Raw genomic sequence first — 25,848 nt, 5'->3', positions numbered from 1 at the left:
ATTTTAACCCTACCTCCCCAGTCAAGCATACTTTGAAGGAAAAAAAGAAGAAAAGAGGAAAAGACACGCTCGCTCTCCGAAGGCGCTTATGTACCAGTGGATGATCACTCTGGTTCTCTGACTAGAAGGCCAGAAGTCAAGCTGCCATTAGCCCAAAGTGGCAGATTCACAGGACACCGGTGAGAAGGCCCATCTTCGTGTGAAAGGAGAGGCCAGGGGTGGCTGAGGAGGGATCTGCTACCCTCTGATGCAAAGGAACAAGGCTGCTGAGACAGAGCTCGTGCATACCTGGTTTGCACTCATAGAGGTCACAGCACTCTCCCGGCTTCCCTGAGGCTTTTGACACTAGTATGTTCAGGTTTCCCGGCTGGCAGACTTTGCGCAGACAGCCTGCGGGGTTGCACACGCAGCGGCTGGGTAAGGGACAGCACTCCCCAGGAGGAGCATAACCCTCGATCAGAACAGAATCTTCAGGACAACGTGGAGAGAACTGGACTTCACAGCGGGCCTTGGAGCAATCTGGCTTCTCTTCTAAAAGGGAGAGAAAGAATTTAGCTTATGCCCAGGGCAGTGTGGGGCACTTTCAACAGAAGAACAAACAGTCCTGATGATCTATTTAAGTAGCCAAAGAGGACGGTAGGGAAAGAAATTCAGTGTAAACCTTCAAACTTAGTTTAACTAACAATGAAAACCTCACCCAAGATCTGCCCATGACACCAAAATATGAGCCTGAAATTCCCTTCTTCTCCGTCTCCCTACCCACTTGTGTTAAACAATGAACATCTGGAGCAATGACCAAAATGAAGAAAGCTGAAGGGAAGATGCACCCATGGCGTGGAGAATCTGAAAACTGGACCCATTCCTTGAGTAACTGAAAGATCTTTGAATTCAAAAGAGCTTTAAAGGCTGTTCTTTGAAAACAGTGTACCTTAAAACACAAACAAATCATGGCTACTTCAGAAACTGGAGACAATGTGTACGACAATCAACATGGAGGAACTCTACCTGCACACTCTGAGTTATCAATGGTATTCTATTAATAGTCTGTGACTTTACGATGTGGCAGCTTAGCAAGATGGATAATGAGCCAAATTCCCGTGTAATTTCCTGAAATGGCACCTGATGTGCTTCTATTTCTAGCAGAGCTCCATCAAATGCACCTTATTCCCCTCTGTCTAATATTATCTGCCGACCCATTGCTGTATCTCAATTTTAGAGATGCGAAAAATAAAACAATGTGGGTTTACTCAGATTTTACGATGGAGGAGCAAAGCCCTGGCTTCTGAAACCCCAGTCCACAGTTTAGCTTCTTGGGTTGAGTTTTAAGAGACCTATACGAACATAAGGCCCTTGAGGAAAAGATGGAAATAGACTAAAAGACATCATCCCAGCCCAGGACCTTTGGTGGGAGATGGGGAGTTCAGGAGACATTAGGTGAAATTGATGCCAGTTAGTACCAGGCAATGTTTCCGTAAGTGTTAATTGGTCTTCCTAAAGTAAAACCCAAACACAGAATTGGGTAGTAGGATAAGACCCAAAAGGTCACCTAGTTTAGTTTTCTCATTTTGTAGATAAAGAACGTCTGAGGCCCCAGAGCTTAAGTGACCTGGCTAAGGTCATTGGTAAACTTAAAGCAAGAATCCAGGTCACCTCATTCCAGTCCACTCAGGTCTTGATATCATAGCAGTGGATCTCTTTTTAAAACCATGCCTGTTCCTCTAGTCATTTTCTACCTTGATTGCTGTATCTTTCCTCTTCCTTATCTATTTCTTGTCTACCTAAGACATAATATAGGAGACTCTTCATACTTATAGTTCTAGTAAATTCACTGAAACATTGACTGAGCACCTGTTGCTTCAGCAGCTTGGGATATGTCAGTAAAGAGGAAAGACACAGGTTCCTGACCTTGTTAGTTGATATGGTGGTGGAGGATGACAGAACATAAGTAACAAACATTATAAAGAAGCAAATTATATAGTAGTAAAGGGTGATATGTGCTATGAGGGGAAAACAAGAACAGAGTAAGAGGGAATTGGAATGCTTAGAAGAAGTGGGTAGCAGTTACAATGTGGTGAGAATGGATGGGCATGATTGAGAAGTTTACGGCTGAACAAAGACTTGAAGGAGTGAGGGGACGAGCCACGGAGATACTTTGGAGAAGAGCATCCCAGCAGAAGGAACTGCTGACGCAGGCTTGTGTGTCCCAGGAAGAGTAAGAACGTCAGTGTGGCTGAGGCACAGTGAGAGGACAAACAGGAGATGAGGTTGGATGAGCAGCAGGGGTACCTGGCGATTTAGAACCCCTTATGCCATTTTCAAGACTGTACCGTTCACTATGGGACAAATTAGAGATTTGATTATATAGAAAGAGGAAGAGAATAATTCAGAAAAACAGGTCCCTTCTTAGAAAGATAGGACTTTGGGAACCTGGGCAACAACAGGAAGGCACACAATATCTGGGGAGGAAGGAGACGTGGGAGGAGGTTGGAAAGGCACTTGGCAAGAAAGAATATGGAGGAAGACAAATACTAGCACTGTTTACCACAGCTGGGTACCGGGTGTGTTGGAGAACGAGATGAGATGGGTTGAGTCTTAATGCTGCCTTCCTTCTGCCACCTACCTTATGACTACACTTAATTTTCCTGTTGGATAGAATACCACTTCATGGCACCTGTGCCTCACTCAGGGGAAACATTCATTTGCAGGCCTCTACCCTCCCTGTGGCTATCACCCACATGCCAATATCCAATAAGCAGCTTAAAGCAGAATGGAAAATAAAACAGCCTCTGTCCTAAGAACAGACTTCATTAACACACATGCCATGTGCTCATGTCACAATAACCCCAGAAGGTTAGTTATTATTTGCTCCATTTTACAGATGATGAAACTGAGATTCAGATTTATTTGCCCAAGGTCACACAGCTAGTAAATGGTGATGTGGTGATGTGAAACTTGGTCCATCCAGTTCCAGCTATGTTCCTCTGTAATAATATGACTCCTGTCTCAGGAATCACTACTGTGATCCTGAGTCATCAGCTGATTTCTCTGGGCACAGCTCCTTCCCTTTCAGAAATGTGGTTTTTGTTAAAGCTACCGGGTTAGCTACATCCCTGCTCCCTCTTACCAGTCTTATCTCACTGCATGTCTCATGGGAGCTACAGCCTATACGCCACATGTGCTTGGGTCAAACAGGAGTCTCAGAGAATCCATCTAGCCCACTTTCATAGTATAACCCCCCAAGGAACTGCCGTGAGAAGAGAACATGATTAACTAATAAGGAATTCCACTCTCAGAGCCCCATCAGTGTGGAGGAGAATAAATCAAAGAGGTGAGGAGGAGAAGGCGAATCTTGAATGTATGCAGATTAAGTTGGAGTTTGTAAACTGCATTTGGTAGACTGCTTATCTGGCAAACACATTGTTTTATAATTAAGAAAAGCTTTGTGACTTTGATTGCAAATAGCACTTAATTCCTACTCTTGTTAATTTGCTGTCATTAATATATTCTTATCATATTCTATTACATTTTTATTTTACAAAATATTTAGTATGTAATAATCAGAATTTTGAAACATATGCTTCAATTAAACATCTCCATTAAAACCCAACATATTAGATCTTACTGGTTATCCCACTCTTTTTTTTTGTTTTTTTTTTTTGAGATGGAGTCTTGCTCTGTTGCCAGGCTGGAGTACAGTGGCACAATCTCAGCTCACTGCAACCTCCACCTCCTGGGTTCAAGCAATTTTTCTGTCCCAGCCTCCTGAGTAGCTGGGACTACGGGTGCGTGCCACCACATCCAGCTAATTTTTGTATTTTTAGTAGAGATGGGGTTTCACCATGTTGGCCGGGCTGGTCTCGATCTTCTGATGTTGTGATCCACCCGCCTCAGCCTCCCAAAGTGCTGGGATTACAGGAGTGAGCCACCGCGCCCGGCTGGTTATCCCACTCTTTAAGTTCTTTTTGACAGTCCCAACATTGTCACCTCTCGACGTGTGTTTTGCAGTTCGAGCCTGAAGAGATGGATTTATGTCTTAAGAGCTGCCTTTGTAATAAAAGTGGAATAGGGTAGGCTACCAAAGACACAGTCTTAAGTGTAAGTCGATCAGAGTTTGACGGCTAGAAGGGATGTAAGAATGTTAAAAATGCAGGTTAAATCTTATTAAATGCTTTTCAACTTTTCAAGATGATCAATCACACTGGCTTTCTCTTTATTAATATAATCGGTTGGATTTTAAATCATCCTTGTGTTCTAAGAATAAACTGTTTTTAAAGATCCTGTTGAATTTGACTTCCTAACATTTTAAGATTTTTAAATTTATAAACTTGAGTAATGTTCATCTTTAGTTCTCTCTCTTTTTATGTTGGCCTTATCCAATTTTAGTTTCAAAGTTACACTAACTCTTTTTTTTTTTGAGATGGAGTCTCGCTCTGTCACCCAGGCTGGAGTACAGTGGTGCAATCTTGGTTCACTGCAAGCTCTGCCTCCCCGGTTCACGCCATTCTCCTGCCTCAGCCTCCGGAGTAGCTGGGACTACAGGCGCCCACCACCTCGCCCGGCTAATTTTTTGTATTTTTAGTACAGATACGGTTTCACCGTGTTAGCCAGGATGGTCTCGATCTCCTGACCTCGTGATCTGCCCGCCTCGGCCTCCCAAAGTGCTGGGATGACAGGCGTGCGCCACCGTGCCCAGCCTCCTCTAGTGTTTTAAGATTAATGCTTGGTTCATTTCTATTTGGTTGTCTTATAACAAACACATTTCTTAAAGAGTTATTATACAAACAATTTTAATTATGCTTTGAATATTTCAATCAAATATTGCTTTGGTTATATTCTGATTTTTGATAATGTATTGCTTTCAGTGTGACTTGTTGCTAAGTAATTTATATGTTTCCTTTTTAAAGACTTTTTAGAAGAGTGATATTAAATTTCTGCATAGCTACATTTTGGGGAGCTTTCTTTTTTAATTTATAGTCTTACTGCCTGGTTGCCAGAGAATGGAATGTAGGCTGTACAATTCTCTACTTTTGTTAACTTCTTGAGTTTTGCATGTTTTTGGTTTTTAGCACGTGTGTGTATGTATGTGTGGTCTCATAACCAATTTTAAAATAGATGGGTATTTGAAAAGAACATATATCCTCTGTTTATTACATATAATCTTGCGTTATCTATTAAATCAAGCTTAATTATGACATTCTGATTACCTATACCTCCCATTTTTTACCTGATTTCCAAGAGGGATCTGTAAAATCTACTACGAGCCAGTAACTTCTCTTCAAATTTCCAGCACTTACTTTAATTTTTCAAAGCTATGTTTTTAACTTCATGACTAGCAGGCATAAGATTCAAGCCTTCAAATTGTGAAGTTATGCTTTCAAATAATTTAGATTTCAAAAGTCTCCATCTTTCTTATTTTGTAATTAACATTCCTTTTTCTCTTCTTTCAACCCTCTATTCACCTTTCAATAAATTATCTAGAATCCCTACTCACCCTGCATCTTCCTCTGCCCCGAACTAGTCATCAGCTTGTCACTTAAATGTAGTACAATTACCATAACATCAGGAATTGTTTTTCTGAAACCTTTTTTTTCAGCCTTTTCTATAAATTCTCCCATCAGATTTTATTTATTCTTCTCTGTCTCTATTCTATGTTTTTTCCATGGAGAAAATAAGGATAAAACTACAGCCACTCCATCAATTAGAAAGTTTTTCTGACATTACTTCTGAATTTTTAATTTTATCTATTTGAAGTCTCTCCTAACTCTTTCCCTATGGTGTCTAACAGATCTATATATAATACTTAAAATAACTTCTATGTCTGATTACACTGATAACAGTGCAACAGACATTAAAAAAAAAAAAAGCCTGCCCAGATATAGAAAGACCAAAGTGACAATATCACTTGCAACAGAAGTAACTATGGAAAAATAACCTGGTTTCATCATCTTAATAATCTTTAAGAAGTTAGTATTAAAATATTGACAGGCTCACCCAATATAAAATGATTTTACCATAACCCTGGAAAGTTTCTATCAATCCTGGTCACTTTAATGTGTATGACTGGATCTTGGCCATTTTTAGGCCCTCTTCAGGTCCATATGTCAAGGAAGTATAGGTTGGTGCAAAAGCAATCGCTGTTTTTGCCATTGAAAGTAATGACAAAAACTGCGATTACTTTTGCACCAACCTAATACAATCATGATCTACGAGAAGCAAATGCATGCAAGAGCTTCTGCTTAAAAGCAAATTTAAATAAAACACAAAGACAAATGAAAAACTACTGGTAGTAAGAGGAAAAAAAAAGAAGATAAAAATTACATTGGCAGATTACCATTATTTCTATTTAAAGTTTGTAGAGTCCCATACATCTGACACTGAAAACTTCTATTTTGAAATCTCTTCTCGTTCTTCATTCTCTCTCTCTGTCTCTCTCTCACTCACACACACACACACACACAGTGAGATACACAGCCATCCTGAGACAATCCTTGGGCGGTTCAAGCTACTTCGGGGAATTCAAAGGACCCCAAATTTGGATTATATTTGATAGCGGAAATTTAGTAGGTAGAACACAAAGTCAAGAGAAGAGTCTGGGGTCACTGTTTTTTCCGACACCTCCCTCTGATGTCTTTTATAATCTAAAGCCCTAGAGTAGCCGTGGTATCAGCCTAGAGTATCACGGGGGCCCTTGGTCACTCAGTAGCACAGGGAGACCAACCTTGAGAATTACAATTCTGGAGAAGACAGACAATAAAAAGCTACACAGCACCATGCCAGGTTATGATAAAGGCTTTGCAGCATATTCAGTGATACGGGTGCCATGTGTCACCAGGCGAGTGAAGGAAGGTATCTCTGACATGGCATCGCAACACAGGCTTGCATGAAAGAAGGGAGAAAGCACACAAAACACAAAGCAAGAGTGTTCCAGACAAAGGGAATGGCAAAAATGATGGCTCTAAAGCAAGAAGAAAGGGCCTACTCTTCAAGTGGAAAAACAGACTTCATGATTATTAATAAGAAATCTAAACTGATACAATTAATAGGCAGAAAATACCAATAAAGACTCAACAAGAAAAATGTTTTGATGGATAATGCTTCTTATTAAGCATTAAATTCTCATGGTCATGCTGGAGAAATGAAAGAAATCTCTACTAATTGAGCATCTCCTACGTGTGGGGCACGCCTCTACTCATTCTCACACGCCTTTGTACTCCTGTGTGAAGAAGAGATTATATCTTCATGTCTACTTGACAGATGAAGAGAGAGACCCAGAGAGGATAAGAAACTTGGCCAAGGTCACAAAGCAAGTGGCAGAACTGCCAAAGCCCATGATTTTCCCACTAGTCGTCCATAATGCCAAAAGCAAGAAGAGCTTCAACTTTCCTACTCGGCGTTGCTGGTATCTGTATATTTAGTCAATAGCTACATTTTTGCTTAAATACAGAGGACAAAATTAATTTGCAAAGATAAAGAGGTTCAGTGTCTTTAGCGTATCCTCATTACTTTCTTGCTGGCTGTTCTATTTCACTTGTTCCTTGGCCTTAGAGATATCATGTGATAAAAGGAGGAACTTTCTTATATTCAGCATTACTTTGTTCTTAAAACTTTTATTACAAATGTAATACGTATGTCATCCCTAAGTTTTTAAATTTAGAGACTGACTCCTTTAAAGTTACACTGTGAATTCTTTTCATACACATTCCATGATTTTATCATAACCTTTTTTGGCAAGCTTTGCTGTGAAGACTTGTTCCGCACAATCATAACCCCAAGGGGAAAAAATTAGACTTGTTGATACAGTCCCAGAAATATTTCATATTTCAAGCTCGTTCAGAAACACCCACTGCACTTTCCCAGCACTATCTTAAGACTCCGAATTTAGGATTTAACAGCGACGGAATCTTTGCAGAGTCTTTTCTTGGTGGTTTGTCAAAAATGCCATATTAAATTGTTTTTGACTACCTAATAAAGCTAGTTTGCATCACTGTGCAGTATAACTTAGCCAAATATAAAGGGAAAAAAGTGATCTGTAAGACTGTAACGTGATTTCTTAATTCAGTGGTTCTCAACCCTGGCTGTGCATTAAAATCACTCACAAAGATTTTAAAAATACCACTGTCTGGATCCCACCTCAAACCAATTAAATCAGAAATTCTGGGGGAGGAGCCTGGGCATTAGTACTTGTTTAAATAGCTCCCAGGGTGATTCTATTGTGCAATTGGGCCTGAGAACCACTGCCTTACTCCAAGCAAACAGAGAATCTTTACAATGAAGCTCCCTATTGACAGTACAGCTTCGCCAAGGGCATGTTCCAACACCCTGGCAAGCCACAGCTGGCCAAGTGCCAAAGAAGCACTGAGCCCTCCAGATCTCTGCCTGCCACCAGGTCTAAGGCATATATCGGCCCCACCGTGCCTCTAGGAATCTCCTGAACCACACATCTTTTCTTCCCAAACGATGTTATGGAATTGCATTCATAATGATGCTTTAGATTAGAGATTTGTTACTTAAAGTGTGGCCCCTAGACCAGTAGCCTCAGCAACACCTGGGAGCTTGGGAGCTTGCTGGAAATGCAGAAACTTAGACCTCACTCCAGTCCTACTGAATCAGAATCTGCATTTTAGCAAGATGCACAGTAAAGTTTGAGATGAACTGCTCTAAAGTGATGGTTCTCAAACAATGATCCTTGCACCAGCAGCATCGGCATCTCCTAAGGAGCTCGCTAGAAGTGCAAATTCTAAGGCCCACCAGACCTACAGAATCAGAAATGCTGGGAGTGGGGCTCGGTAATCTGGGTTTGAACAAACCCTAGAGGTGATTCTCATGCATACTATAGTTTGAAAATTTAGTGCCAGAATAATGACTGTCAACCTCGGCTGCCCATTAAAAACCCTAGGAGAAGATTAAAAATCCAAAAGCTCAGAGTGCACCCCAGACCAATTCCAATTAAACAGAATTACTGGAAGTGGTACCCTGGTATCGGTATATATTTTTTTTTACAGTTCCCCAGCTGACTCCAATCTGCAGTCAATGCTGACCTATTGTTCTAGGGACCCTCAACCCCTTCATCCTCTACACTCCCAGGAGATTTAAAGCTGCTTTAATTCTTAGGAAATCGGATCCAACTAGTGTTCCCTGGAATCTTCCTGGAAAAGTCAGAGCTTCCTGGGAGGAAGGAAAAAAGTTCAGAGTGGCTTCCAGGATTTGCCTTTTATGGGAGGTAGTGGGGTGGAAGGACTGGGGAGTGGGAGAGCCGGATGCCAAATGTGGCCTGTTTGCATCCTACTGAATTTTAAAACAGTTTTCAAATATTTACTGAGTTCAGAGACATTTTATTTCATCTGTTAATTCACACCAGAAAAATATATCCAACCTACTCCCAGAAAAAATTGCCATTCAAATAATTATATTTATATATTCACACACCATAACAAATTTCAAAATGTAACAATGAATTTATTTTTTTAAAAATCTGGCAATAAAATAAGGCCTAAGGATGGTTTAGATAAATGTACAAAGAACTAAAGACTGGTTTCAAAACGTTTAATTTTACCTAATAAACTACAGTCTTCTCTGAATACCTCCCCCACCGAACACATTTTGCCATAAACACTGACCCACAAAAAAGGAATCAAAATTATTAGAGAATGGGACAAATGACTAATGAGGTAAATTAAATGAACTAAATTTGTATAGCCAGCTCAGCAACATTTTAAGAAGACTCTTTATAACAGCTTGAAAATGTCACAGAGGCATAAACATTAGAAATTAAGAACTCCCCAAGTAATGTTTACCGGAAGGTGGCATCCATTTTAGAACAACAAATAAAACCTCTATCAACTTTTCCTCCACTGAGGAAGGGACACGGTAACTTGGTTCTTCCTTTGTGCAACAATGACAGCAATTTGAAAAAAGTACATAATAAAATGTCAGATTTTAAATATGTCAGAGTGAAGGGTCTGGTGTTCATCTGTAAAATGAGGGGCTGGCCCTTGTGGGTGTCTCCTATGAACATATTCCAACCAGATGTTCTGAGAGCCCTTCCTATGCAGTCAGGTTCCAAGGATGCTCAGTTCCTGCTCATTCAAGGAAGACCGACAAACGCTTGCTGAATTAAAGGAGCAGCCAGTCATGTTCCTTTAAACCTCCAGTATTTGTCAACACTCTATAGAGTTTTTAGTAGTGTAGTAGAAAGTGTGATCTTACGTGATTTTAAAGACAAGGAACAATAAACCAAGGGTATTATCGTAATATTGTCAAAAAATTCCCGAGTCCCAGAGGTGGCATATGGATTTCAGATGTTTTTAGAAAGACTTCAAAGAATATCGTGTGTTGATCTGAGATTTCTGAAAGTGACTTTACTTATGTAATTAAAATGATATAGCAAGAACAAAAAGAGGGTGCTGAATAGAGTGTACAGGGCATAAAGACATTTATTCTACAAGACTGCCTTGGAGAGTAAAAGAATATATACTTTTTCATATTATGTAAAATATAAAGTGTGTAAGTATAAAAACATTTCATACATATATGTGTATATACATATACACACACACAGAGTACTCACAGGTTCTTATGTTTTCTCCTCAGTTTGTTTTAAACCTAACACCTAACGCGATGTCCCAAGGCACAGATGTAATCACTCCATGCTTGCTATGTCTCAGAAAGGTAAAGTTGATTCTGAAACACAGACACACACTCATAGGCATGGGTACACACACACACAGTCCTCTTACATGCCAAAAGTTTTACTCTCAAGTGCTGTTTCTCTGTCAGCTTCCAATACTTTCTCTTTATAAATCGTCTCCACTCTGGAGAGAAGGAAGGAAGCAGCCTTATATAGGTAATTTCTCCTGGAGACTGTTCTCAGCTATTTCTACATTCAAGATGTGTGGATGGGCCCTGTTTACAAAGTTGTCAAATTGACAAGATGGCATAGAATGGTAAGGAGTGCCTCCAAAAACAAACAAAGATCTCCCAGTGTTTAGACCCATACCATAAAGGCTCTCCCTGGTGAGAAAGTGCTTCTGCAGACCCCTCCCAGAGGTGGGCATGCCTCTGAGAACAGCCTCATTCTGGTCCTAGGACTCCTTCTGTGAAGGCATCTCCACCCTTCTGGGCCATTCCTTCGGCTCCAGCAAACTTCCTAATCAGACTTGCACTGGGGCAAGCCCCTGATGGAGCCCCGCGTTTCTATGCCCTGTTTGTGTCCTTTGGGTATCCACCACGACTGCCAAGAGGGCACCCAGAGACTACAAATATGTGAGCTGCAGCTGAGCAAAGGGATGTGTTTACTTTCCATCCTGAACTACAACTTGACCTGTAGCAAAAACAAAAATACTGCAATGTGTATTTTTTTCCCAGAAATGATAATTATAGTACTCCAAACATTTTTCAAACTTCAACTACCAAAATAGAAAAGGCATTTCAACAAATAATTTATTAAATAGGTACTTATATTCTTGGTAGCCCTTACATGGAAATCATACTTTTTCCCCCCTTCATAGCCATTAAAGGGCTTGGCTTCTGGCTCAAAGCCATCTTCCAGGGCAAGATGGGGTTCAGCCTCCCAAGCAGAGGTAGGTGGAAAAAGTACTCCCTGTTCATCACAGTCAGTATGGGTTTATAAGCACCTTTTTCTATTTCAAAATACCAGCAATTTAAGCAGTACAGTGTGTATACGGAGGAACTTTTGCACATCTGGCTGACGGGATGTGCTGGAATGGAAGCCTAAGGCTAGATACACCCTTGGTCCCAAACACAGGAGGTACAGTACTTACACTCCTTTCAGCAGCATCATGAGAACCCCGGCTTATTTTAACAACTCTCTCTGAAGGGAATGCTCCCTCACCTGGTCCCTTACTTCTAGTTCAAGTCTTTTTGATCCCAGGACTCCCATCAGGGTACACCCTTGTAACTACCACTGTCAGGCTTCCCAACACTCTTTAGACCACTGGTTCTCAGAAGTGAGCAAGGCAAACGCTTTTTTAAGCACAGATTGCCAAATCTTATCCCCTGGTCTTGGGTGAAGCCTCAGGATGTGTGCTTCTAACAAATTCACAGGCTCCTGATGCTGCTGTCTAGGCACCGTGCTTTGAGAACTACTACTTTATACCATATCCACTTGCAAACATCAGTCTCTTGTAAGCTCCACCATCTTCTCTCCTCCCCCTAAAAACAGCTGCTTTCTCTCTTTCTGTGTGCTGGTCTCTCTTTTCTATAAATGCACAGTAGAGCTGGCTCAAGGTATAGAGGACAGCGACAGTCTTGATGGACCTGAACAAGAGCCGTCCCCGCCAATCTCATCCTCTTCTATACCATACAGCAACCCACACAGAGCCCAGCATCTAGGCCTGAGAGAGAATTCAGAGAGGAGTACAATGGAGGGAACAGGCAAACTGTTGAGGCTTCCACAGCAAGAAGAGATCATGACTGCTTCCAAAGTGAACACTGTGTTCTGCGTCAGTGTTGCTCCCATATTCCAGGATTCTCTTCCATTTTCAAATGTCACGGGACATCATGATTCCACAAATAAGTCTCAACAGATTATGGTGAAACAGCTCTCACAAAGCCACATGCCAGTAGTTGGGAATTTGTGTTATGTGCAATAAGAGTGTCATGAAATTTAATTCTATAAATGTTATGGGGATTGGGCTCCACACAGGTGCTAGGGACCTAAGTTCCTTTCAGCTTTTTTGCCCATTCAATCCCTACGGTGCAGCCCTTGTCCATATGGTATTCCAACTGTGGGAGAGGGGAAAAGTAGAAGGGGAAGGCGCAACTCTAAACAGCATTATGGGAAAAGGAGCACTGTCATTTATGCTCACTTCATGGACCAGGACTCAGTCACGTGGCCACACCTCCCTCAACGGTGTCTTTATTCTGGGTGACTGTATCTTTAAACATTTTATATCTACGCAGGAAGAGGAGAATGAACACATGTATATGGGGACAATTAGAAACTTCTGCAACAAGTTTCCTAAGACAATGAACTGTAAGAATAATGGAAGTATTTTGCCTTAAGAGCGAATGTAAGTAAAGCATTCTGAATCACTTGAGAAACACTCAAACAAGTAATATGTGTACTTCTTACCAAAGCTCTACATCTATTTGTTACAAGATAGAAGATTCTTACTCATTAACTCCAGGAATATTTAACCAACTGCTAAATAAGAGACACTATAATAAGTTGGGTATTTTAATAAAAGCAATGAGGTACAGAAAACGCTTTGTCATCCACAAGCCTAGATTTTCTGTATATATGAACTTTAAGCAGAAAGCCCAGGCTTCTTCTACAGTATTCTATAGCTCAGAATTTTCAATAAATCAATCTAATCCTTCCTACAAAAAAGATGAATTAGAGATTTGAAGCTTTAACTACAAGAGAATAGGGGAATCAATATTACATACAAATGTGGGAATGATTCTGTCTACAAGACTTACTTGTCAAAGGAGAAGAAAAGTTGTCTTAATCAGAAATTCGTAGATATGAGTAAAGAAAACAGTGACTTAGAAAAGCCAAATGACTTGCCCAAGGGTCATTTACCTATGAATGTCAAGGCAGGGCCAGAAGCCCAGTCTCCTGGGAAGTCCTGCACTGCTTCCATCAAAACACACAGTCATCATCCTAACCTTCTCATTTTTCAGTCTGTAGTCTGCATCTTACACTGATAGTTATTTGATCTCTTACATAATATTTAAAATTGCTTAGAATCTAGCTGAAAAAGTGTTTGATTACAAAGTTCCTTTATCATGAAATCAGCTAAACATACAAACCAAACCAACACAAAAATAACCCTTTATTAGTGGAGTGGCTAAGAAAGGTCAGAAGAGCAACCTTTAGTCATAGGACAGCTATAGTGCTGTCCACCAGCCAGGTGCTGATAGGCTACCCAGCCACACAGGCGGAGCCTCGCCCCCTGAGACACAGTGAACAAATGGGCTAGGAATGGGAGCCAGGGCAGGCCTGCAAGATGGAATACAAGGGCAATCTGTCTGTACACCAAGGGTCTTGGGGCTGGAGCCCTAGACAGAGAGAGCGCCCATGAGGAACAACCTAGGGCCTCCATACCATAGGGACTTCTCTGTAACAACTGAATCCCCAGAAGTTTAGACCTCTGGCAGTCTCCTTAACCCATTCAGAAGATGAAGTCCAGCCAGAGGAAAGTAGAAGCTCTTCCACCAGAGCCACTGGTAAGACTAGACAGGGTGTCTCAACATGAAAGATGGTAGAATGCTTCCTGTGGAAGTTGTGTGTCTGCTTCAGGCCTTGGCTTGTTACGGCTCCCACCTCTGAAAGCTTTCTGTCTACAAGACCCTCTCATGCTGCCATGGCTTCCTCACAGTTCAAACAGTGCTTCTCTGCTCTTGTTCTGATCCTTGGTTTTATGAGGGGAAGTTAATTACCTGAACATCTCCTGCTGATGGCTGAAAGACTCTATCCCTATATTGAGTGGATGCATCTGCCTCCCTAGTCTTGTGAAGGCACTGCAGATCTCCTACCTAGCAAATGAGGAGGATGAAGCCAGCCTTCTCTATTTCTTCCCCATTTTCTCCTCTTCTTTTTCTTTTCTTTCTTTTTTTTTTTTGAGACAGAGTTTCACTCTGTCACCCAGGCTGGAGTGCAGTGGTGCGATCTCGGCTCACTGCAACATCTGCCTCCCAGGTTCAAGCAATTCTCCTTCCTTAGCCTCCTGAGTAGTTGGGATTATAGGCGCACACCACTACACCCGGCTAATTTTTGTATTTTTAGCAGAGATGGGGTTTCACCATGTTAGTCAGGCTGGTCTTGAATTCCTGACCTCGTGATCCACCCGCCTCAGCCTCCCAAAGTGCTGGGATTACAGGCGTGAGCCACTGCGCACGGCTCCTTTTCTTACCATTTTTAAAGTCACTGCTACTCTCATTTTCAGGAAAGTCATTTATTAAAATTTGGGGTTTATGTCAATGCTATCCTTTGTCCATGTTATAATTAAAAAACATAAAAATGTGTCTGGAATAGGGAAAGCACTACACATACAAAAAAGGAGCCTTGTGGGAGGTCAGATATAAACAAGGGGGAGTGGTAGTACCACAGGTTTTCTTTAGTGATACTGGGAGCTTGATGGACTGGCTCAATGTGAATTTCTACTCTAAGTAATTTTTAACAACAGATTAAGAAGCCACCTTTTGTCCCTGACTTACTGCCCATTTTCTGAGCTCCAGGATCCAGACTATTGCTCTAATTCCTAGTTCTACTTGGACATACCAGTTCTTCACTATCTTCCCTATTCAAGATAATTTCTTCCAAAGAGGCTAAGGGAATCCTATAGCCAGATATTCTTTATTTAAAAAACATACACAATGTTTGATACAGGTGGCTATTGATACATGCTAGGGATTTTACTTGATCTCAAAGACTTAAATAAGAGACTTGAGACATCTCAAATGACCTTCAAGATTAATGATTGTAACTCAAAAAGGCAATTCAGTCAAGATATCATTACTGGGCCTCCTATAAAAAACGGATGGATCATAATTGTCCCAGAAAGTGAAATTTTACACTGGCCAGTACACTCACTGAGGTATTTCCAGAAATTGCTCTTCTTGGTTCTGGACTATGCATTTCAGAGATTCAATCTATTGCCAAATACAGCATGCCGGCTTTTTAATTGGTCCCAGATTTCTGTTTTTTGGTAAAGAATCATCACTTTCTAGGAACATGTTATTCCTCTGCACTCCCATCACCAGGCCTTCTTTCACAAAGAAAACAGTTTTGACTAGTTCATGACTTCCTACATATGTGATAATGGGCTAAAAACAATTGGGTGGTTGGCTTGTCACCAGCTAAGTGATTTTCCCCTGCACAGGGGCTTCACCTGATTCAAATGACAAACCACTACATGACATGGATCCTCTGGGTCACTGTTTCATAAATAACTGAATTCATGAATGTTAAAGCAATGAATTGCAAGGCTCTACTCTGTTGGTTTCTGAGTAATAAATCTTGTATAATTCATGGTTATTCGTATTTAGCAATAACCTCACACCTAACTCTTCTACCCATTACCCACTTAAGAATGCATCAGAAGGCACCACCTCATCTGAGCCTCTGATGAGAATGTTGCTGATAATGGAATTTGTCACCAGTAAGCCCCCTTTTGAGTCAGAAAAGGATTTTTCAATTTGTAATTACAAGGGCACTCTGGAATCTAATTTCCGTTCCAAATTATGTTATTGTGAAGCAAGAATTATTAAATTAAGACAATGATTCTATATTGGAAAATAACTTAGACTAACTTCCAATAATAATTTAAAAGTAAGTAATCTAAGTTTAATCTGCTAGAAATATGTAAAGCTAATAGAGTTCTTCAAGTGAGTTTTCAGTAATGAGTCTAACACCGACCTGTACCAGTACTCCTAGTGAAATAGTTTTAACATGAAAATTCTGCTCAGCAGTTGATCTTCTGATATTATTTCTGAATGAGTATATCTAACAGTTGAGGGCTTACTATCAATATGTTTAGTCTGCTAGAGCTGTTTATTAAGGCTGGGAACCACATTATCCTTATATTACTCAGAAAGCCAAGTGGTATTCATTCTTTCATTTGCAAATGTTCCTGAGCAGCTACTTGACCCACAGTGAGTATGATACCCAGTCCCTCACCTCCACAAACTCACTACTGAGCTCGGAAGAACAAGAGGAACATTAGCTAGCATGGATTGGTCTCAGCCATGGACTCAGTCCCGGGCCTGACTTTAACTGCTTACGTGATTTGGACAATTATTTTCATCTCAATGGGCTTCCGTGTCCTCTTGTACCAATAGGAAGGGTAGCATATGAATCCTAAGGTTCTCTGCACTCCAAGAAGAGAGAATAGAGGAAATAATTTAACAAAAGAAAACAATAATCAAAGAGGTGACTGCAGGCAATCTGTTATATTTTGGGGGTGGGTACATATGATAATTTAATACATGCATACAATTTGTAAAGATCAAATCAGTGTAAGTGAGATATCCATTGAGGCTCATGAGTGGCAGGAACAAAAAGGATTGTGACTAGAGAAAGGAGAGACTAGGGTGCATGGCAACTGCTGAAAAAACTTCACGGAGGAAGTGAGAAATTTTTATCAGGGTTTTGAAATACAAATACGATTTAAAGCAGGTAAAGTGAGGATGTTGGGAGTAGAGACTAAAAGTAAAAGGAGAGTGATGTGTGAAGTAGCACAGTGGCCATGCTCCCATATGTCCTACTTCCCAAGGACACAGCCCTACTGTGGATGAGCATACCATGGCCTTATCTGCCTCTGTGCTTTTCATCAGATATGTCCATCTCCTACAATGCTCTTCCCCAACATTCACCCATCTGGCCAGACTGCTACCACCTACCACCCAACATTTACTGAGCAACCATGACATCCTGGGCACTTTGCTAGAGATCTGGAGAGACACGGTTGAACAATACATGGTTCCCACTCTCAAAGGGCACTGTGGTCATCTTTAAGCAAAAGCCTTCTCCTCTGTGAATATCTCTTCATCTCTGCCTCCCCTACAAGTTGGATTCCTTCTCTCAGTCTATTTTCGTAGACTTTATGCACAACCTACTTTATAAAATGTTCACATTGCATCATTAATTATTTACACTTATATCAGGGTAATCCATGACCAAATGTGATTTCCATGAGGACTGGGCCTGAGTTTCATACATTTTTGTTTCCTTGTAGCCCAACATAATGCCTAGACCACAGCAGGCAGGAAATCAGCTATTATATCCTTTACTGACACCTTCTACTATTCTTAAATCTCTTTTTTTCTCTATTTCTTTCTATCCACCTACCTACGTACCTGTCTGCCTAGTTTGTTCTACCACTTACTACAAGTCTGTGGGCCTCAGTCACCTTTCCTAGCTTCAGCTTCCTCATCTATAAAATAATAAAAGTCTCTACCTCACTTACTTGTTGAGAGGTATTAACTAACACATCAATGGCTTAGACTAATACCTGGTGCATAAGTAAGCATCTATTATTAGTTCTGATTATCATTAGCTGCTGACCTTTAAATAGTTACAAAAGATTCTGGGATCTTTTTATAAATCATGGAACCCAGTCAACAATGTAAAGTCTAACAAACAAATGATACAAGGGCAGAGGACTCAAATACTTTAGTACCATAATCAGGTAGCACCAACCCAAAGTATGCAAAAACATATCAAGTTTACAAAGCCTTCCGATCCTAGCTACACAACAATCGCAAAAGGCCTGAACTCTTTTACTGTGTAATTATTACCATCATCTTACTTTGGAAATGTCTGTACACAATGAATTGCACATTACTATAATACATACTTCAACCACATAGATCTTGTTAACAAAGGAACATTGTAAAGTGGATACGGTACTTGAGTAGCTGAGCAGAGGGTGTGTCTCAAGGTGTAATTAACTTTATGGACTATTCACAGGTCTCCAGGTCCAGCATGGTAATTATTTTAAATAGCTAAAAACGTGCTCTATAGGAAACCCTGGGTGGTCACGTGGTTCAACGAGTCCAAGCTGACTCTAGCTTAGGATCCCCAGTATAGGACTACTTACCTTAAATAGTATGCTGAAATTCTTCAAATCAGTTCTGAAAACAAACTGCCTAAATTTATTTGTCATTTTTAAAGGGCTATGGTACATTAAAATGAATTTGAAAGTACCCAAGAATCTCTGATCTAGACAATTAAGAGATCAAACAAAGCTGTAAAATACTCTAGTATGGAAGTAATTCCTTTCTTACCTAAGCACCCTAAATTCTGTTTCCATTATATACGCTACTTATATGCTTAAAAGCTCATTTGAAAGAAAGTAAAGCAGGCTTAGATTGGATAATGCACTGCAGTATTTCTGTAACCAGTCCTTGGTGTGACATATCTAAGGAAACTGAGGAAACATGACAACAAAAGACAATGGACTAGAATTAAGAAAGCAAATTTCAGCCCCAGAGCCATTACTGACTTTGCAATAACAGCTCCTATGAGAACAACCATTTCCGAAGTATTAAATGAAGCATTTAGGGAGTTATAGCGTAAGCATCCCAGGAATAAAACTGTCATCATTAAATCTGGGGAATTTAATTCATGAAGCTGATTTATACCACATATTTTTAATTTTTCTACCTCAAGAATCGTATCATTAAGGAAGCAAAAACATAGTATCATAACACTATCAGAAGCAGAGCTTGCCCCTTCTGCAATGGTAAATTACTACCTAAATTCATGGTGAATCTGAAGAGCGATAAGTAGTGAAATAACTCTTACAAACACCAGCAGCTGCTGACAGCAAAGCTTCTCAGGCTACACAGTTATTGGAATCCAATCTTGGATATTCAGGATTTCAAATGGCACTTAAAACTATTCAATTATGCAGGGGGAGAAAGGTTTACCACCCTGCCACCTTTTATTAACTACACACTCTATTAACTGGTACAGGTATATCCCCACATATATAGTACTACACTAACAGACATTCAAATTAAAGACTGAGTGCTACTAAAGTATCCTAAAGATTTTTTTTAATTAAAGAACATTAACTATATTGAATATATAAGATAAAACCGCAAAATAGAGACAAATCCCCCAAGAAACAAAATAATAGGACTTATAAATTCACATCAATAAAATTGTTCTTCAAAGTCACCTAAGGAAGCTATCTAGTATCCCAATTCTGCCACTTCTCAACATTTTTCTGTAATGTTCCTTTTGACATTTTCTTTAAAGGCAGTTCATGAGATATACAATAAAATCTGCCTCAGTGCCTAATAGTTTAAGCTTATGTTTTAGCAAAAATAGAATTCTCCAAAGTGCTTACCTATTTTATTAATCAGGTATGACTCCATATGCCTTTTGGCTGTTTCCCAAAATTAAATCCAACTTCAAAAAATCAAAGTTTGCCATTACCAAAGGCATTGAAAAAACTGCTGCAAACACTGAAGGCAATTAAAAATAAAAAAAGGAAAGAAGGAAAGAAAGGAGGGAAAGAGCAAGAGACACAAAAAACATTCCTCCTTCATGCAAGGGCAGCTACGTTAGGACAAGAAAATGGGCCTCCAAGGTAATGGCTGTGAAAAGAGGCCATCTTCTGGATTTTAAAATTTTTTTGAGATTTGTTTCAAAGAGTCCCCACCTAAGAATCTCAATGTGAGATAACGCCTGACTACACTTCATTCTACTGCTTTTTCGCCAGCTGGTAATTCCCTTTCCCTGAGTAAGCTAGGGCAATATATTTGCAATTCCACTGAAATGTTAATGCTAATTATTTTTCTTACTGAAAGTGGAAAAGTAAGAATTTGAGTTTAAACTGGGCTCATATCTAGTCATCTTACTACCACCAGAAAACAGACTAATAAAAATGGTTTTTGAAAAAAGTCCCATCAAGAAAGATGTTTGCTTTATAAAGATTAATTGTAATAGTGAGTAAGCATTTTAAACAGTACTGATTGCAGCTTTTCAACAGTATCCAAAGCCTTTTGTTTCATGACATCATTTAAATTCTCAATTTCTCCCCCAAAAAGGAAATTTAATCAGGAAAAAGCACATACCATACCTGCATAAAAGTCATACATTTAAATTTACATTAAAAACTTCTTTGGAAAGTATCTCTGTATTCATCTTACAAGTTAAGAATATAAGCACTCATGTTAAATTTCTGCTTATGGTTTTGGATTTAACAGTAGTTATGCGGGACCAAGGATCAAAAGACTGTATGAAAACACTAGTTTTTACAATGCTACTGCAATAAAATTTCCTCTAAGCTGATCACGTAGAGGTCTCAGCTGCCAATGTTAAACACCACGGGGTTTCCAGATCTCCAGTGGCCTCTGTGGAATGAGGCAAAACAGGCAGGAGAGACTCAAGAAGGTTGTACTAGCTTCCTAAATGGCTGAAAAATGAAGTCCAAATTCTGTGCCATGACACTCAAAGCCCTTGGCCACCTGGACTCAACCAACCCCACGACGTATTCCCCAACTGCCCATCTGTTCTGCTATGGCAGCACCTATGCTCCAGTCACATGAGAGCTGTTGCAGTGTCGACTGTGCTCTCCTTTCTTACCCCATGTCCCTATGCCTTCTCTGCTTCCCCAGCTGGCAAACTCTTAATTATCCTGCAAACCTCAGCTCCACAGGGATGAAGACCTCCTGAACTTTTGAAAAGAGTTAGGCACTGGCATGCACAGGTGCTATGGAAGAACCTCTCAAATGGCACTTAAGACCCCGTACATATGGCAAGAGAAAGGGATCTAGTGTCCTTGTGTCTGCACTGTGCCTGGGACAACGCTGGTGATCATTAAATCTTGACGGACTGAACAGTTGAGACAATAAAGTAACAGGATTGGTTATGAATAGGAGATCCAGAATGAAACCATCTGGGTTCCAACCTCGGCTCTACCTCTCCCTGCTGTGAAATCTTGGGCAAGTTACTTCACCCCTTTAACTTACTTCATGGGATTCTTGGGTATATTAAATAACATAATCCATAGAAAATGCCTGGGGACATCTGATATATAAGCATGCTCTAAATGTTAGTTAATAACACCACATTCTCATTCTCAAAAATAGGAGATTTGTTTTTAAACAAATGAACCAAACTAACATAGGTTGCTGGAGGGCAAGAGAACACTAAACATGGAAGACATGGTTATCAAAGAGAAGATATCAGAAGAAGAAAGAGGGCAGGAAGTTGGGAGGGGGAAATAAATACACCTGAGTTAAGGGCTCAAACACAAAAACAGAAAACAATAAGAGGAAACAGAAGTCAGAAGCGACAAACATTTAAAATGAACAGAGAACTGAATGCCACTTTAAAGTCACAAGATCAACAGAACAAAGAAAACAATCACATCACAGGGCCTTAAAGCCACATATTTGCTACAAATTAGGATTATTTATAAACTGCCATCATTTCTGAATGTCACCACTGAATATGATGACCACTGTATATAACCACATCCCAGGTATTTCAGATGTGCTGCGCAGATCGCCTATGTCAGAACATTTCCCAAAAGCCCCCTTTAAATTTATTTACTCATGCACTTCTCATTTTGAGATCATAATTGGCTCCAGGGAAAATGAAATGAAGCTTTATGCTCAGATTCTAACATAAGCTTCAGAAATAAGAGAAATAATACTAAAAGAGCTAGTCCCCCTAGGAGGCACAAGACCTCCTTCTTAAAATCAGTGCATTCAGTCTCTTCAATGTGGTAAGTAAGGGCTGTGTACTAAGAACGTGGTACATTATCAAGAACATGGAATGTGAATGGCCTGGGCAGCATTAACAAGTAGCTAATATCAAAACTACCTATTCTGGGATGTCAATGAGTCTATTTCAAGCGGCAATAAAATGTGCTCTTGTTAATGATGCAAATAGGAGATTAGAATATTAACAAAAGTACTTCAAGGAGCTGTAGTTTTTACTGAACCATGTGTTCAATCTGATGTCAATCACAACTGTCCAAAGAAGTAAATCAAAAGGACAAAGCTACTACTGAAACTGTCAAAAGTATATGTATGTTTTAATGTTGCAGAGAGTAAGTCCTCTCTCAACCAAATTACCATGTTGTCCTAATAATAAAAGCCTCCTTTATGACTAGAACCTTAATTTTAAACCTTAGGACACCTCCCTCTTGAATAGGAAGCCTATAAACCACTCAGCTACTCTACCAATTGCTGGAAACTTTCTTTAAAAATGCTAGCATTTAATTAGCAAATTCCACTTATATTTATTACAGGGATACTGTCAGGATACATCAGGCTAATGACTACAGCAGGAGAGAGGAAGGAGAAGTGGGGAAGGCAGTGGGAGGAGAAGAGGAGACAGAACCTATACAGCCTGGATTTTAAACAACTCCAGTGGTGGTGACACAGAGGCCTAAGACAGCGCTGGGACCATCATCTCATTTTAACAGAGAGGGCAAGGAAGGTGCCTAGGGGTTAAATGACTTGTCCAAGGTCACAGATCCATGGAGACCTCAGGACAGAGACCCAGTGGAAACAAAACTTTTGATCAAGACACAAGACACCTCAGTCATCTGACCCTGCCAACAGAGCGGTGATCTATAGATGTGATTTCCCATTGAGTGAAGGCAGCTTTACCTTGTTTCTGAAGCTGATTCCTTGGTTTAGTGGCTTTATACCACCTCTGCATTGCATAGAAAAGGGGAACCCGGACATGGCAGAATAAAGAGCTCAAGTGGCTGGGCACGGTGGCTCACCCCTGTAATGCCAGCACTTTGGGAGGCCGAGGTGGGTGGACTGCCTGAGCCCAGGAGTTCAAGACCAGCCCAGGCAACACAGTGAAATGCCATCTTTACAAAAAATACAAAAATTCGCCAGGCAGGGTGGTGTGCACATATATTCCCAGCTACTTGGGAAGCTGAGCCTGGGGAGGTGGAGGCTGCAGTGAACCATAATTGCACCACTGCACTTCTCCTTGGGTGTCAGAGCGAGACCATCTCAAAAAGCAAACAATAAAAAGAGCTCAAACATGAAAAGTGAGAGAGGCAGGACTCAAAGAAGAGTCTGTCGTGTTACCTGGGGCCTTGCACTCCTGCACTGTGCCTTGAATTTCTCCCTCTCTGCTGGCTCTATTTATAAACATGCTACATTTCTAAAATTCAGGAAGTAAACACTCCTCCTTGAGCTCTTACTTTACCTTCAGGCTACAATTCTAACCTGCACCTGTTCCCTTAGTCCCAACTTCTTGAAAGCATAGTCAGTGCTCATTTAGGTGCAATGTGCCTGCCACCCAGTGCTGCACAGAAGATCGGCATGCACAATTCTCCTCCACCCACCACCACCATCACCTCCTTGGTCTAGGAAGCCCTCCTGCCTTTCTTCTCCATTTACTGAAATCCTGTTCATCCTTCAATGTTCACAGAAAATGCCACAATTTCTGATTTTCCTAGTCAGAATATAACTCCTTTCTCAGTAATCCTGTGCATTTTTCTCGTACCTGTAAATTATGAAAGTACTTATTTCATTCTACTTTCTATTCTAGTGAGTGGTGTTCATGCCTGTCTCCCCAAGAAAACTGGAAGCCTCTTGAGTTCGGGCCGTACCTTATTTATCACTCAAATGCTCACTGCATTTAAACCTTCTTTGGTTAGAGTTTAACTGACACCAATTTATTCTGGATCTTCATATTATTGTTTTTAAGATCTCAGAGATGCAGTGGAGATAGGTCTTTAGCTTTGAAGATCCTACAAGGATCCCAAACTCCAAACACTCAGATAACAGACCCCTGAAATGAAATAGATTGAGTCTAGAATAAGGAAGAAAGGTAAGAGAAAGGTAACAGAAATTGAACGTATACAATCTGCTATGACAGTATTTCATATTTCAGGCCCCAAATACTGCCATGAACCACCTTAGCTTTGTTAAATTGGTAAACAGGTGAGTAAAAAATTGAAATATGTTAATATTGCTGGAAACAGGCCAATAAACAAAGCTATTTCAGTGTAAAGGGGAAAATGCAATAGCTGAGAGGAAAGAAAGGCAAACAGAAAACAGAAGAGGTATGGTGGGCGAGACAGTAGGGGAAGAGAGAAGAGGGGTGAAGAAAAGGATGTCAGAAAAAGTTACAAAGCATTTAATCACCACAGACACAGGAGCTAAGTGGTCTGGACAAAAAGACAAAAGAATAAGGGAAGGACTGCAACATCTGCACCATGCAGAATGACAGCCTTCTGAAGAGGACAGAGTCCAATGGGAGTGGCGGGATTCTGGGTGGACGGTGCCACGTCTGTTACCTGCTGAAACATCTAAACTGACCTGGATGCTCTTCCCACCCCTCTGCTTCCCCGTCCAACACCTCCAACATGCTGAGGAGCAGAATCAGAAACAGAGCCCTGGCAATGGCTTCAGCTGCACAGCTGGTCATGCTCTGAAGCCAGGACAGACTGGGCTCAGGAAAGAGGCTGTTCGACTACAGAACAGATTCTCCCATTAATCAGGAAAGCTCATGGGAGGAAGAATTGGAGCCAGTCAGCTACTGGTCTGGATATGGCTAATAATTTCTGTCTTTGGTTTCTGGAGGAACTGTGCCAGGGTTTCTTCCAACTGCACACAGCAAATATGACTTTCCTTCTGTATCTGAAAAACTGGCAGCAAAAACACTGAAAAGAAATGGGACTATGGCCAAAAGGATAAGCTTAAATGAAATTAGGCGTAAACTAAAATCAAATGACAGGTCAAAAAATACTAAACCTGTGATGTCTCTTCCTTTCAGAAGACAAACGCAGTGTTGTAGTAGGAGTTACATCTTGTTTTCTAAATTCTGAATGTGTTTTATACTTACAGATACTTTCTGATAATCTGTTCACAGCACCTTTATTGATTGTTTTCAATCAAGGAACCGGTCATTCTAGTCTTAACTTCACATGCTACCTCTCTCCTCACAAGCTTGCAATGGCAATAAAGTTCCCATTCTTTTAGCATATCATGAAAGTTATCTTTTATAATTTAGGTTCCTCAATGGCAATAAAGTCCCATTTTTTAGCATATCATGAAAGTTATCTTTTATAATTTAGTTCCATAGTTCCAATCCATTATTATTATTATTATTATTATTTTGAGACAAAATCCCACCCTATCACCCAGACTGGAGTGCAGTGGCACGATCTCTGCTCACTGTAACCTCCACCTCCCAGGTTCAAGTGATTCTCCTGCCTCAGCCTCCTGAGTAGCTGGGATTACAGGCACACCCTACCATGCCAAGCTAATTTTTATATTTTTAGTAGAGACAGGGTTTCACCATGTTGCCCTGGCTGGTCTTGAACTCCTGACCTTAAGTGATCCGCGTGCCTTGGCCCCCCAAAGTGCTGGGATTACAGGCGTGAG

General features: G+C 40.5%; 1 protein-coding gene and 1 long non-coding RNA gene across 14 annotated transcripts in view; one reads left to right on the top strand and one right to left on the bottom strand.

Annotated features, from left to right (window-relative positions):
• The window catches only part of CRIM1 (cysteine rich transmembrane BMP regulator 1), a 195,358-nt gene that overhangs the window by 109,347 nt on the left and 60,163 nt on the right, over window positions 1-25,848 (bottom strand). For 11 of the 13 annotated variants that reach the window (XR_007076383.1, XM_011532898.4, XM_011532899.4 and 8 more), the window contains one exon: window positions 289-531. The exons of the other annotated variants lie outside the window; for them this stretch is intronic. Coding sequence is in view for 10 of the 11 variants with exons in the window: in XM_011532898.4 (XP_011531200.1) it covers window positions 289-531 (243 nt within the window). In the remaining variant the exon portion in view is untranslated. The remainder of the gene's footprint in view (window positions 1-288; window positions 532-25,848) is intronic. 13 annotated transcript variants of the gene reach the window in all.
• On the top strand, window positions 22,028-25,442 carry LOC124905989 (uncharacterized). The gene is made up of 2 exons (XR_007086282.1): window positions 22,028-22,211; window positions 22,740-25,442. It is a non-coding gene; the product is annotated as an uncharacterized LOC124905989 (long non-coding RNA).

Source organism: Homo sapiens, chromosome 2 (genome assembly GCF_000001405.40).
Source record: "Homo sapiens chromosome 2, GRCh38.p14 Primary Assembly".
In the NCBI taxonomy this organism is placed as follows: domain Eukaryota; kingdom Metazoa; phylum Chordata; class Mammalia; order Primates; family Hominidae; genus Homo; species Homo sapiens.
This window is presented reverse-complemented; position numbering and strand designations above follow the sequence as displayed.